Here is a 13731-nt window from a genome sequence, read left to right as displayed (position 1 = left end):
GTTCACGTGCAACAGCCCTCACAAGCGTACCACTTAGAACGCAGACCCCGGTGGACGCTGGGTCTTATCCATCTTCCCAGGAACCACTTTCCTAAAAGGAGCTTGGGTGGAGAGACCCTATCCCGGCGCGGCTCAGCGAGTGTGGCTGGGAAGCGTCTCCACAGTGCCTGGCCTTTCCCTGGGGCCACTGAAGAACCACTGGCTGCAGGCGGCTGGCTGCAGGGGGCTGGCTGCAGGGGCCTGGCTGCAGGGGGCTGGCTGCAGACCACGCATCGCTCCCTTAATCCCTGCAGCAAGGCTTAGAGGCAGAGCCTCTTATTGTCCCATTTTACATATGGGGAAACTGAGGCAGGAAAGGTTAAGTCTCTTTATTCAGATCCCACAGAGAGTAGGTGGCAGAGCGGGGACGTGGAGTCTAGAGATTTGGCAGAAAAAGAGTGGAAACCTCAGTCATTCTGAGGGACCAGACGGGGGTGCAGGCTGAAAGCTGAGCCTGGGAGGGGCTGGGGGGCCACCCTGAGGGGTCTCTTCCCCGGGGTCTTGTCTCCCTCTGGGGTGGGCTCTGTCCCACTCCTTCCTCTGCTGGCTCAGGAGTCTGGGGGCTCCGCCTCCTTTCCACAGCTGCCGCCTGCCAGCCTCCTCCCTACTCTGGGCTGGGGGCACGGCCTGCCTCTGTCTCCAGCCCTCCGGGGAGGACGTGGGGCCCCGTTCCCCTAACCGCTCTCAGAAGCTTCCACGCGGGCCCCTTCTGGACACTTTGCTTCACAGACACAGACAGGGCAGCGGCAGAACTTGCAGATCACAAGGTTCTGTTTTCACCCAGTCTCTGTGCTGCCAGGCCACAGGTCCTCAGGAATGCCTGTGAGGCACATCTGTCTCCAGGGCCTCCTGTGAGTGTCTCCTGTCCTTCAGGCATCTCCTCACCTTGGAGAAGAGACATTTGTGTCCCTCATCCTCCAAAACGAAACCCCTTACTGCTGGCCATCCTGATAGTTCAGTCAGTAAGACATAAAATCCAATTAGAAATGGCTCAACCCAAAAAGGGAATCTGTTGACTCAGGCAACTGAAAGGTGGGGCTTCAGGCATGGCTTGATCTAGGGGATAGTCCAGCCCCTGCCTGCTCTCAGGTTAGATGTACCTTGACTGTCAGGATCCTTGCAGGAAATTGATGGTGCCCTCACGTGGACACAGGCAGAATCCAGGAGACCTGGTGGACACTGGGCATCCAGGAAGTGAATTCAGGAGATTTGGCAGACACTGGGCATCCAGGAAGTGGATCCAGGAGACCTAGCAGACACTGGGCATTCAGGAAGTGAATCCAGGAGACCTGGAGGACACTGGGCATCCAGGCAGGGACCACAGTGAATCCAGGAGACCTGGCGGACACTGGGCATCCAGGAATTGGATCCAGGAGACCCAGTGGACACTGGGCATCCAGGCAGTGACCACGGTGAATCCAGGAGACCCGGCGGACACTGGGCATCCAGGAATTGGATCCAGGAAGTGACCGCACTGGGATGTTCTTCTCCCCACGGCCTGAAGGGACAGGGGTGAGAATCACAGGCGCCCAGCAAGAGCTGGAGCTGCAGAGAGAGGACAGGGGGTAGGGACAGTAACTCTGGAGAGAAGAAACCACTGCCAAGACTGTGGGGAGGGGACAGGGGATGCCCCTCACTCCTTCCACCCTCCAGACTCCGGGGCTGCCTCCCAGAACTGAACCCAACAGAAGCCGGAGGGTGCAGGAGCCTGGCAGGAAGCCCACAGCGGTCGCACAGGGGACAGCATGGGGCTGGGCAGAGCAGAGCCTGTGCTCGGGGAGGGGAGATCCCAGGGAGGAACCGGCCCAGCTCTGTCCTCACGCTCCAAGTCTGACAGCTGCAGCCAGCCGTCCCCACTGAGGACTTTGGACCGTCCCAGCAACCATGCAAGCAAAAGTCTCAGGCGACTTTCATTGGCCCATAGTGGGTCACGTGCTTATCTGGGACCCAGTCACAGCCAGCAGTCTGGGGAATGCCCTTCACTGATTGGTCAAGCCTTGTTAGGCCTTCCCTGTGGGAAATAAGAATAAATCCGCGTTGTAGGGAGCTGGGGAGCAGAGCAGCTGGGGAGCAGCCCCAGCAGAAACCTGGGTTACTGGGGAATGCAGAGCCCCCCGTCGGCCCCTGCCGTCCCACACGCGGCCCTCTCTAGCCCTCTGCAGTGACAGTCACCATGCCGTGGGGTCTGATGGTAGCCACTGGAGGCTGAGTCCTGTTGGGATGGGATGGGCTGGGCTGGGTGATGGGGCAGAAGCCTCCCCGGGGGCGGGCCAGCATCCACACCAGGGGGCAGCGACATTTTCTGTAATGTGTCAGGGCAGAGTTGGGACCTTCAGGGACACCGAATCGCACTCTAGAAGTGACTTCGGGCACTGAGCTTGCATGTCCCTGACCTCCTGTGGTCCTCAGCTGCAGGGCCGACAGCTCCAGGCTCCCGAGGCACGAGGAGGGGTCCCTGCCTGCCCGAGCCCAAGCGGCGTGTGCCGTGGGAACACCCTTTGGTGCTGGCAGCAGTCGGGTCTTCTGTCCCGCGATGGAAGAGCACGCAGGGAAGGGATGCTTAAGTGAGCCCTCCCGATTCCCCTAAACCAGCGGCTGGAGACACAACCAGACGGCGGGCCCCAGCCCCGGGGAGGGCCACTCAGCCTCCACTTCCTCTTGGCTCTCTCCACCGCCCTGAGTCACTGGCCCGCAGGTGTTGGGGACAGTGGGGTCCGGGTCTGGAATGGTTTCTCTGGCCGTGTCAGCACCGGCTCCCGGGGAGGCTGCCTGGCTCAGACCCTCCCGGGCGGGGGCTGTGGATGTAGAGATGACACCATCGGGTTAGGGGCCTCCTGTTCCAGCCTGCTGTGCTGTTTTTAAGTCCTCAAATAACTTGTATGTTTGATGCCTGATTATTTTATTTTTGGTATTTTTTTAAACTCAGAAGTCTGCATTATCCACACCTTGAGACATACCCAGAGAGTGCGACGTGGCGCCCACGCTGTGGTGGGAAGGAGGTTTAAACAGGGTCTTGCTGGAGCCCCTCCCTAGCGAAGCCCTGGACGGCTTTAACCCACTCCCAGCCCCCGGGGGCCTCGGGGAGCCCAGCAGCCTGGCCCCTGCCTACTGTCCCCGGGGCTTCCCCAGAGCCCGCAGGGGCCAGAGAGAGGGGTTAGAATGGGGAGGAGGAGTTTAGAAAAACCAGAGAGGGTGGGTGTGGGAGTGAGGGGGAGGGGGCCGGGGCGGGGGGAGGGCCTCAGAGCTGCTGGCCCTGGTCAGAGGGCCACTGACCGGGTGGCTTATAAACAACACGAGGAGTTTCTCACCATTCTCGAGGCCGGAAGTGCAAGATCAGGGTGCCGGTGGGGTGGGGCCTGGCGCAGGGTCTCTGCCAGGTCGTCAGCAGCTGTCCCCTCCTATCCTCATGGAGTGAAATGGGCGAGGGAGCTTGGGACTCCCATGAGTATGGCACGAATCCCATTTCCCAAGGTTCCCTTCCGGAACCTACGTGCCTTCAGGGCGGCTGTGTGAAGGTGAGTTGCTTCTGGCCCAGTGCTGCCAGCAGAGCCGGGGCCGCGGGGGGAGCCCCCAGCAGTCCTGGAGCTGCCAGGCTGTGAGGCAGCCCACACGCTTCACGCCGGGAGTCGACGTGGATGGGCCCTGGGGCAGCACGAAGAGAGGCGTCCTGCCAGTCCCAGCGCTCCAGCTGCAACCCAGAACCCCCCAGCAGGTCTGCCCCAGTGCCAACCCCAGCAACCGTGGCAGAAAGTCACACGACGGTCTGGTCGCTGCACGAAGCCACACGCTGGAGGCCGGCTATGCAACAAGGACAGGGACATGGGCGAGGAATGGCTCAGACTGGACGTGGCATCGCGGTGACACTTGGGCATGTGATGTTAGCAGGCGTCTGTGGGAGTCTTCCATCCCCTGCAAGCAGCCACGGAAGCTGCATCTTGTCCCACGTGGGTGGATGTGCCTGGCCATTGCAGGCCCCAGCAAGCGTCCATGGATGATTAAAGAAGTAAACAAAAGCAAGCTCAGCCCGGCCCACTTGAAACTCAGACTTGGATTCCCTGCATGGCTTTAACCCCTCAGAGGCCAACTATCCCGGCAGAAACTGCACTGCTGATTGGTTTGGTTTGACAGGGCTGGTCATCGGAAACACACATAGAATGTAGGAGAGTGTGTGTGTGTGTGTATGTGTGCATGCCTGTACATGCGCATGTATCTGCGTGTGTACATGTGTGCATGTATCTGTGTGTGTGAGATGTATGTACATGTGTGTGTGTGTCCACAGATGTGTGTGCATGTGTGGACATGTGTGCATGTGTGTGTGTGTTCTGGCACCAACAGGTGATTCCATCCACTTTCAAACCCAACTCCTCACCACTTTCTCCATTAGCTGCATTACTGATTTCTCTTTGTCAGACGGTAGATGCTTGTCTAATTAGGCAGTGGCTTTAATTATGCCACAAAGCACATAACATAGTCTTGATTATTAAGACTGGCCCATGGGATAATGAAAGGAAGACTGGCAAATCCAAATTAAGCAGAATCATAAAAATGAATGACCTTATCCGAGAAGCCGTCCTACATCCCAGCACAGTAACATGCCCCTGCTCTGTGTTTGCGGACTCCTCATGCATATTAATTGTTTAAGCCTGAGCAGCCTGGCTGTCAGCTCTAATAGATGCAGATTTACCGGATGGCACTTTGAGGAGCTGGGAGCAGGTACCTCAGCCCAGTCCAGATTCCTGATGAAGCTGCTCTGTCTAAAGCCTTCTGCGTCTCGGGTCTGGGATGGGAAGGGAGTAGACGTGGACGGTGAGGATGGGAGAAGCCAGGTACCATCGTGGAGATAGGCGGCGAGCCATGTGGCTTTTCTGCAGGAACAGCTACCAGGTTTCTTTCCTCATCAAGGTTGGGAGCTGCGGCCGGTTCCCCAGCTGACATCTTCCCGTTTCACACGTGCCCGGCTCTGTCCAGGCCTGGGGTCTGTGCCCTGGGAAGGAAATGTCTCAGGGGGAGTGGGACCCTTGGGTGAGCACCAGGGGAATGCACTCCCACTGGGTGGTCTTTGCCTTTGAAGCAGCTCTCCCGGCCTCTCCGGGCACAACTTTAAGCAAGCTTGTCCTTGGTTCATGGAAGCCAACCGGAAAGCTGAGGTTCCTGCCCTGTGGCTTCCTGCTGCAATGTGGATTCACTGGGACCTGCGGGGCAGAGCCGGCTCGATGCCAGGCAGCCCTGGACTCTCTAAGCAGAAAGAGCCTTCTCAGGCCTGGGATCCAGCTCCCCCTTCTCCCACTGTGCGGGTGGCCTGGGATCCAGCTCCCACACACACACCTGGGCACACACACATGCACACGCAGCATCTCACCCACAGACCCAGCACACACCTGGAGACAGATGGACCTCAGACGGACCCCGGCGGCCCAGCCGAGGCGCTCGTGTCACCCATGGCTCCTGTTCATAAGGCGAAGGGCACGCGCCGATCGCAGACGATCACTTCCACACAGACTTGCATTATGTGGGTTTCATTTGCACGAAATCCACCTGGGCTGGACCAGGACTCCTTCAACAGCAAGTGACAGAAAATCCATCTCAAATTGGCTTAAGCTAGAAAGAGAGGCAGTGGGGAGAGAGACAGAGAAGGAGGGAGGGAGGGAAGTGTCCCTGCAATGACAAAGCCTGAGGAAGCCCTGGCGTTGGCCAGGAGGATTCACGGCTCAGGCGATATCATCGGGCCAGCGTCTTGCCAGCTCTCCGTGCTCCTCTTGGTCTTGCTGGCTTAGCCTGAGCCTCCACTGTCTGCAAGAGGCTGCAGCCACTCCAGCCTCACGTCCTGTCTCCCGGAGCCCAGCCAACCTCTCCTGGCTCTGATTGGGCCGTGTGTCTCTCCCTGAGCCTATTGCCATGCTGATTGGCTCAGCCTGGTCCTGTGCCCTCCCCTTCATCCAGGGCTGGAACTCCACCCAGCTACTTAGGGAGTTCCTGCCGGGCTGAGCCCCATGTTTTATGGGAAGGAGGAGGGAAGCGGCTGAGCAGGGCAAGAGCGAAAGTCCACTGCCTGGCAAGGACAGCCTAGACACGGGGGAAAGAAGGGACATGGAGGGGCTGAGCCCTGTCACACGTCATGCCCTGCATGCCGGGCTGGACATGGAGAAGCTGAGCGTGCAGTCTGGAGCTGAGGCTGGGAAGCCCTGATACATGGCTTAGAAGTGAGTTGGTGACAACTGGACGGTTCCCCAGCAGGGGCAAGCACCAGAGTGATGGGAACAGCCCCTGCTGCCAGGAGCCCACGGGGGGAGTGTGCACGTGTGTGCGTGTGTGTGGTGTATCCTGTGTGCACGTGGTATGTTCATAGATGTGTAGTGTCTGTGCATGTGTGCGTGTGTGTGGGGTATGTTCTTGTGTGTGGCATATGTTCATGTGTGCGTGTGTGTGGTGTCTGCTTATGTGTGCATGTGTGTGTGGTGCTGTAGCTTCTAATTCAGCCCAAGCCACAACTTAGACTTTTAATGTTACGTTCAAACAAAACCATTTGGAGACTCACCCACAGCTCTGAGGCTTTGGACGACGCCCGCTCATCACCTGCCTTCCCCTCTGCTGAGTGCAATGAATTCAAGCTCCATAAAGGCCACACATGGAGCCCTGTGTGCGTCTACAGTTCTGGGTCCCGAGATGAGGCGGTGAAACAGCAAACCCACACCCAGAACCCCTGCCCCAGGAGCCCCAGCCAGCAGGAGAGCAGGGCAGGGGTGCAAAGAGCAAGCCGGGGGTGGGGGTGGGAGAGGCAGAGCAGCAGGCTGGAGGCCGGGGCTCTGGTGGGATTTTACGTTGAGCACGGGGTGAGCCTCTTGAAGGGTGAGGGCGTGTGTGGCCATCCAGGTGGGGGTGGGGAGCGCAAAGGCCCTGGGGCAGGAGCAGGCCTGGAGCGCAGGCCACAGAGCCAGGGGCCGGGCGCAGGTGAGTGAGCCAAAGGGAACCAAGAGGGGATGGTGGAGGGAGCGGCCTGGCTGAGCAACCCGGGGCTTTGACCTTCTCAGGGGCAATGGGAAGCCTGGAATTGCATGGGCTGGTGTGGAGGTCACCGTGACCTTGCCAGGCCTGGGGGTGCAGCCGCAGTGCCCAGGGAGGTGAGAAGGGGCTGGCCAGGCTGCCTGTTGTGAAGAGCGGAGAAGTATGAGAGAGATGTGGAGCAGGGCGTCTGGCTTTTCTCTGACCTGCGATGGGCTGGTGGGAGCAGGAGCGAGCTGGCCTCACTGTGAATGTGAAAATGCTGGTTGGAGCACACCACGGTGGGTACTTCCTTCAACGGCTAAATGCGCCGAAGGCCTCCAAGCTTGACAGGGTTGAATTTCCTCCAAGGCCCTGGGAGGGGCGCCCTGTGCTCCCTGGATGGGGCCGACATTCCTGGCCTGTCCCCAGCTGCGTCGCCTCTGCCCAGCCCTCAATCACTGCAGCTCTCAAGTGGTCCTGGGTGCCGTGATCTTGCTGAACTCTGATGCTTTCCAAATACCATAAACTTAGTTTATTTTCTGTCTGACAGAAACGGCGCCACTTAAGTCCTGCAAAGAACCCTCGGGTTCCACTCAGGCTGAGTTATTCGGGGGCCACTGCTGAACGGTTTGCATTTGTTTCCTCTGTGACATCGGAGTGGGGAGGACGCTGCCTCCAGCACAGGGCCAGGGGCCAGGGCTGCTCACACAGAGCTGCTGGAGCCTACAGGGTCCCGGCTGTGGGTCCTGGGCTGCCCGCCCCCAGGAAGGGCACCTTGCCACCATTGAAGTGGGGCGAGCTGATTCGGGCACAGCTGGAAACCAGGAGGCAGCCAGCAGCAGCGGCCCTGAGCAAGAACAGGAACCCCAGGCCGAGGCGGGCGCATCACACGAGACCAGCCTGGCCAACATGGTGAAACCCCGTCTCTACTGAAAATACAAAAATTAGCCGGGCATGGTGGCACCCACCTGTAATCTCAGCTACTCGGGAGGGTGAGGCAGGAGAATTGCTTGAACCCGGGAGGTGGCGGTTGCAGTGAGCCGAGATTGTGCCACTGCACTCCGGCCTGGGCAACAGAGTAGGACTCTGTCTCAAAAATAAAGAAGAAAGAAAGAAGGAGAGTCCGGAAGCCACTGCTGCCCCCACCAGCAGAGTGGAACTGTGATTTCATAGAACAGACACAGCCTGGCAGCGAGAATGACCACAGTGCTCACAGCCACTCAGGTGGAATCTCAGGAACTCAATGTCAGGAGGAGGAGTGGGGCCCTAAGGCCCGTGTGCGGGAGACAGTGGCCATGGCGTCGAGCTCAAAGGTGAGCCGGGTGTGGCTGGGGATGGGAAGGCGTGGCGCAGAGCCACGGGGAAGGCACACGAGGTCCAGAGACGGCAGCCTGCGAAGTGGAGGGAGGGTGGACGCCGGGGTGATCACCCACTTTCCTAGACTGAGCGTTGGGCACAGGCTTTGTATTGCTTCATTCATCGTCATATTTGATGTATGTTTGATAAATATCCCTTTAAAAATTAAAGACAGTTTGTTAATTGAGAAGGGTACTGTATTATGGGTAAAAGAAATTATTTTATGCTAACTAGTGCTGGGTGAAAAATGAGGTGTATGTGTTCCATTATTTCCAATTTAAACAGCAGTTTGTCTACAAAGGTTTGTGATGAGTGTCAGGTGTTAGGTGCACATTAATGGCATGAAGTAAGAGCATTCTCCTGCGGAAAACACAGAAAAGTCCAGAAAGAATGTGCAAGCAACCTGCCCAGGCACTTCCACAGCTGCTGGGTGTCACGGGAAGCCGGGAACTAATTTAAGCGCCCGGCAGTAGGGTGGTGGCGCTGTGATATTTTCTTCTGCACAAGTTTGCTGCAGGGGCATCGTGGAGGGCCTGTGTGGAGCCACCGTCAGAATGCCAAGGAGCACCTGCCCTGACCCTGTCCCGCCCCGCACCATTGCCCACTCTGTCCCGTTGAGGGGGTGCTTCCCTGGGTCGTTGTGAGACCTGGGCCAGGCCCACAGGGTTCTGCTCGCTCGTAACAGAAGCCTGGGTCCCGTGATGAGCAGGCGTGGCCCACAGAGGGGTCCCCGCCGTGCATCTGTCCCCACGGTGCGTCCCCCGACCGCTCTGGGGCTGCTCTGAGTTGGGGGAGCCGGGCGGGGCGTGACGGCATTCTCCTCTCTCCTGTCTCCTCCTCCCCCCGCCCTCGAGCGCAGCCTCTGGCCCTGGCAGTGGCTGGTGACTGGAGTTTGGTCAGTTGGCAAACGTGTCCCCAAGGGTCAGAGACACACACAGTTCACGTGTGGCCGCCCTGCTGAGAACACGTGTGGCCCCACATGGCTGCTGCCGCAGTAACACACACAGCACTGAAGGGCGCACGGGGGACGGGCCCTCCTGGCAGCCACGGCCTCCCACGCGTGGGAGCCTCCCTGCACGTTCTGTGCGGGGCTCTGCTCGCCTTGGGGCCCTGGCCGTCGCTGGCCCTGTTGACTTGGGACCTCGGCCAAGCCTGAACCTGAAACAGCCTTCGGCAGGGTCCATTTACAGACCCCATGCCGGAGCATCACGGCAAGGCACGAGGCCACAGCTGCCCCAACGCCGTTTGTGTCTAAAAAGCAGGGCACAGCGCCAGGCCAGTGTTTTGTGGGCAGACCTGGAGGGACACTTGTCACACCCACGTCGGCGTCACCTCGGGGGACAGGGGCGGGGCCTGAGGGTGGGCGTCGGAGGGAGGCTTGGTGGATCTGTCCTGGCTTCATTGTTTTAAAGAGGACAATCTCTTAATTTTATGGTGTGATAAAATTGGTTCAAAATGGGATAAAGAAACCTGGAAGAAACACACAAGAAGGCAGATGTACAGGTGTGCGGGTGGGAGCGGCGGAGGCAGAGTGACGGGTGGGAGCCGGGCGGGGCGTGGCAGCGTTCTCCTCTCTCCTGTCTCCTCCTCCCCCCACCCTCGAGCCCTGGCAGTGACGGGTGACTGGAGTTTCGTCGGCTGGCAAACGTGTCCCCAAGGCTCAGAGACACACACAGGCTGTTCACGTGTGACCGCCCTGCTGAGAACGTGTGGCCCCACATGGCCACTGCTGCCGCAGTAACACACACGGCACTGAAGGGCGCATGGGGGACTGGCACAGAGTGACGGGCGCAGCGTCTGTCATGGAGAAGCAGCGGACGGCGGCAGCTGAGGCACCTGCTCTCCCCTCTGCTTGATTTTTAAGGACTGTGCTGCTGTTGTCTCGTTCTCTCTGCCCCTGTCTCCTCCTTCCCTCCTTTCTCCCCCTCGCTGTCTCTCTGCTCCATCTCCTCCTTGCTCTCTCTGAATCTCTGCCTCCTGTCTCCTCTCCCACTCCCCTTCCTCCCTGTGTGTGGCAATGACTGACCGTCATCTGCCTCTTATCTTTTCTCCCGCTCTTCCTCCCTGATAGAATTCTGAAATGTATCTGGGCTCCAGCCAGAGTGAAGACCACATTTCCTGGCATCCCTTGCAGGGTGTCGTGGCTGTGGCTGTGGCCGTGGCCGTGTCCGTGGCTGTGGCTGTGGCCATGGCTGTGGCTGTGTGGTCGGGCTCTGGCCGGGAGATGACGGCCGACAGCTCCACCTGGGACCTCAGACACATCCAATCCATTTCTTCTTAAAGAAAGAATTGAAGTCAATTGAAGTCAAATTGAGTTCCTATTGATTACAGTCGTAGACTCAGAACCATTATGTACGCAAGAGCTAACGCGTGAAGCCAGCTGTTCTCAGGGGCTCCTGTCCCTGGGGTTTTATCTCCAGGTGGCACCTGGCAGGGCACAGAGGTGGCATCACCTGCTGGGTACTCCAGGCCCCAGCTCTCTGGTTTGCCCCTGGGCAGGGCTCTGTGAAGCCTGCAGGATTCTGTGCCGGCCTTTGCCTTCTGGAGGAGGTTCCTGGTGATCGTATTTCAGGGAGACACGGGGCTATTTCAGGGAGACACGGGGCCTCTGTGACAACTTCTGTTTCTCACACCCAGGATCAGAGGTGCTCACTGTTGCCAAGCTCAGTGGTTATTGATTCCATAGTTTACAACTGTCTTGGCCACAGTCAATGGACTGTTTTACAAAAGATGTCTGTTCAGCACTATATCCTATAATAGGTGTGACCCTGTTTCATTTCTCGGCCCTAAATGGGACTTGTTCTTGTTGGAATAACTAAACAAGAGCAGTCTCAGGAGCAGTTTTCTTTGAAGAGTTTCTTCCAGAGCGTGGCTCCTGAGACAGAGCTGGAGACCGAAGTCACCTGGGGGTGCCCTCAGTGAGAGGGTCCGTCTGTGCTGTTCAGGCCTCAAAGCTGTTTGTAGAACAGGCTGGGCCTAAGTTATCTGGGAAACTGGCTGATCCCGTGCGCCCATCTCCCTCGCCTGTGTGTGCTGCAGGCAAAGGCCAGGCCTGCATAGCTGGTTAGACACGGGAAAGTGAGCGGCCAGGACAGGGTCCCAGCAGGCGCCACGTGCCACCCCACCGGGATCCGGCCCCACGCGTCTGAGACCTGCCCCAGGTACGCGTTCCCAGCGGCGTCTATTTCACGATTCCGCCCTCGGCCCCGAATCCATGGAGCCAAATTCCTGCTTTCTTCACGGTCACTTCTGGTATTTGAGCTGAAACCATGTCTGACCATGGGCCCAGCTTCCTATGCCCCACCCTCCTGCTCGGAGCAGCACCTGCCCCAGGAAAAGGCCACCCCGCCCTGGGCTCGGGACCGGCACGGGCTCCTCCCTGACGCCCCTCCACCTTCTCTTGCTTTTTCCAGCAGCACCAGACGCAAATGGGACTCCGTGGCTCCCGCCCGGAGGACGCTGCTGACCTCCTGCCCCTTCCTCTGCTCCGCCTGGCGGTCCCGCTCCTCGGAAAAGCTCGCAGCCACTGGCTCTGCTTGCTCTTCTCCCGCGGGGGGCATGGGACCCGCCACGCGTGGAAATCACACTCGACGAGTCCTCCCATCACCAAGCCCAGAGCAAATTCTCGGCCAGCATCTTCCTTGGCCGCAGTCGGGCAGGTGACGCTGCCTCCCGACGCCTCCCCCTGCCTCAGCGCTGAGGCCGCCCTGGGTCCTCCCTGGCTGCACAGCCCACCCTCTGTGCCTTTGCGGAGCTCCGAGGTTGGGGTTCCAGGGCTCAGGCCTTGGCCTCCTCCCTCTGTGTCTTTCAGTCCTGTCTAATGGAGGCAAACAGTCCTGGATGTCTAGCTCTAGCCCTGGCTTGAACTCCAGGCTCAGATATCCACACGTTTTATGTTTCAACAAATGGCCAGATTGTTTTCCAAGCAGCTGCGCCACCTCCCGTCCCCACCCGCCACACGTGGGCGTTCCGGCCCCTCCGCGACCCTCACCGGCGCCGCTTTTGTACGTCGGCTGCACGTCAGCCTTTCCGGTAGCCAGACAGCGGCCCCCGTGTGGCTCCGAGTGGCAGCTCCCTGATGGCCGCCGAGGGGGGCACCTGCGCACGTGCTTGATGGCTGCTTGGGCGTCTTCGGTGGTGACGTGTCTGTTCTGGTCTTTTCCCCAGTTTTCATTGGACATTTTGTTTTCTTACTTTTGTCTTACTTCTGGATACAAGTCCTTTATCAGATGCGTGCTTTGAAAGTATTTTCTCCAGTCGGCTGTGGCTTGGCTTTCTACACCTGAGTGTCTTTCAAAGAACAGATGGTTTTTTATTTTGATAAAGTCCAATTTATCCATTTTGTTTTGTTTTGGATCATGCTTTTGTTGCCATAGTGAAGAAATCTTTGCTTAAGCCAAGGTCACAAAGACTTTCTCCTCTATTCCCTTCCAGGGACTTGATGGTTTTAGGGTTTACATTTAGGTCAATGATCCGTTCTGGGTTAATTTTTGTATGTGGTGGAAGGTACAGATCAAAATTCATTTATCCAGAATAAGAAGTGTTTGTTGCTTGCCAAGGTGTGTGTGTGAGAGCATACGTGTGTGTTTCAGTGTGTGCGTGCGTGTGTAGGGGTGGGTGTCCATGTGTGAGTGTATGTGTGGGTATGAGTGTGTGTGAATGTGTGTATGGGTGTGAGTGCATGTGTGTGAGTACATGTATGGGTTTGAGAGTGTGCTTGTGTGAGATTGCGTGTGTGTGAGCGTGAGTGTGTGTGTGGGTTTGTGTGTGTGAGTGCGCGTGTGGGTTTGTGTGCATGTGACTGCGTGAGTGCGTGTGACCACATGTGGGTTTGTGTGCATGTGTGTTCATGTGTGTTCGTGTGTATCTGCCTGTGTGTGTGCATGTGTGTGAGTTCATGTGGGTTTGTGTGCATGTGTGTGACTGTATGTGAGTGCGTGTGTGTGTGCATGTGTGTGAGTGCATGTGGATTTGTGTGCGTGTGTGCGTGTGAGTGCATGTGGGTTGTATGCGTGTGTGTGTGCATGTGGGTTGTATGCATGTGTGTGACTGCATGTGTGAGTGCGTGTGTGAGTGCGTGTGAGTGCGTGTGTGTGCGTGTGTGTGAGTGCATGTGTGTGTGAGTGTGTGTGCTTGTGTATTTCCCCATTTTCCGAAGCAGTATTATTTCTTCACTTTACTCCTTTATCTATTTCAATGCATCTTTCTCTTTGTCTAGCTTCACACCAGTGTTGCCCTGCCAATGGCTGTGGTACTAAAATCAGTCTTAACTTGAGGTGGTGTGAGTCCTCCCGCTTGGTTCTTTTTCAAGATTGCTTTGGCTCTCCAAGGTCCTTTGCATTTCCACATGAATTT

At 57.8% G+C, this 13731-nt stretch overlaps 1 protein-coding gene and 1 long non-coding RNA gene across 2 annotated transcripts in view, besides 4 other annotated features; one reads left to right on the top strand and one right to left on the bottom strand.

Moving 5' to 3' along the window:
• GALNT9 (polypeptide N-acetylgalactosaminyltransferase 9) overlaps nucleotides 1-13731 on the top strand; it is a 133218-nt gene that overhangs the window by 48336 nt on the left and 71151 nt on the right. The gene's annotated exons all lie outside the window — the stretch shown is intronic.
• Nucleotides 354-5863, bottom strand: GALNT9-AS1 (GALNT9 antisense RNA 1). Its single transcript, NR_024563.1, has 4 exons — nucleotides 5418-5863; nucleotides 4724-5023; nucleotides 3348-3997; nucleotides 354-2834 (listed from the first exon to the last, which is right to left on the bottom strand). It is a non-coding gene; the product is annotated as a GALNT9 antisense RNA 1 (long non-coding RNA).
• Nucleotides 2339-2989: an enhancer, noted in NCBI's record as "H3K4me1 hESC enhancer chr12:132854851-132855501 (GRCh37/hg19 assembly coordinates)". NCBI's record gives its function as "activates a minimal SCP1, AML or CMV promoter by ChIP-STARR-seq in naive H9 embryonic stem cells {active_cell/tissue: H9 hESC(naive)}" and the evidence as "EXISTENCE:reporter gene assay evidence [ECO:0000049][PMID:30033119]".
• Nucleotides 4899-5675: an enhancer, noted in NCBI's record as "H3K4me1 hESC enhancer chr12:132852165-132852941 (GRCh37/hg19 assembly coordinates)". NCBI's record gives its function as "activates a minimal SCP1, AML or CMV promoter by ChIP-STARR-seq in primed H9 embryonic stem cells {active_cell/tissue: H9 hESC(primed)}" and the evidence as "EXISTENCE:reporter gene assay evidence [ECO:0000049][PMID:30033119]".
• Nucleotides 6485-7377: an enhancer, noted in NCBI's record as "H3K27ac-H3K4me1 hESC enhancer chr12:132850463-132851355 (GRCh37/hg19 assembly coordinates)". NCBI's record gives its function as "activates a minimal SCP1, AML or CMV promoter by ChIP-STARR-seq in naive H9 embryonic stem cells {active_cell/tissue: H9 hESC(naive)}" and the evidence as "EXISTENCE:reporter gene assay evidence [ECO:0000049][PMID:30033119]".
• Nucleotides 7378-8272: an enhancer, noted in NCBI's record as "H3K27ac-H3K4me1 hESC enhancer chr12:132849568-132850462 (GRCh37/hg19 assembly coordinates)". NCBI's record gives its function as "activates a minimal SCP1, AML or CMV promoter by ChIP-STARR-seq in naive H9 embryonic stem cells {active_cell/tissue: H9 hESC(naive)}" and the evidence as "EXISTENCE:reporter gene assay evidence [ECO:0000049][PMID:30033119]".

The sequence above is a fragment of the Homo sapiens genome, chromosome 12 (genome assembly GCF_000001405.40).
Source record: "Homo sapiens chromosome 12, GRCh38.p14 Primary Assembly".
In the NCBI taxonomy this organism is placed as follows: domain Eukaryota; kingdom Metazoa; phylum Chordata; class Mammalia; order Primates; family Hominidae; genus Homo; species Homo sapiens.
This window is presented reverse-complemented; position numbering and strand designations above follow the sequence as displayed.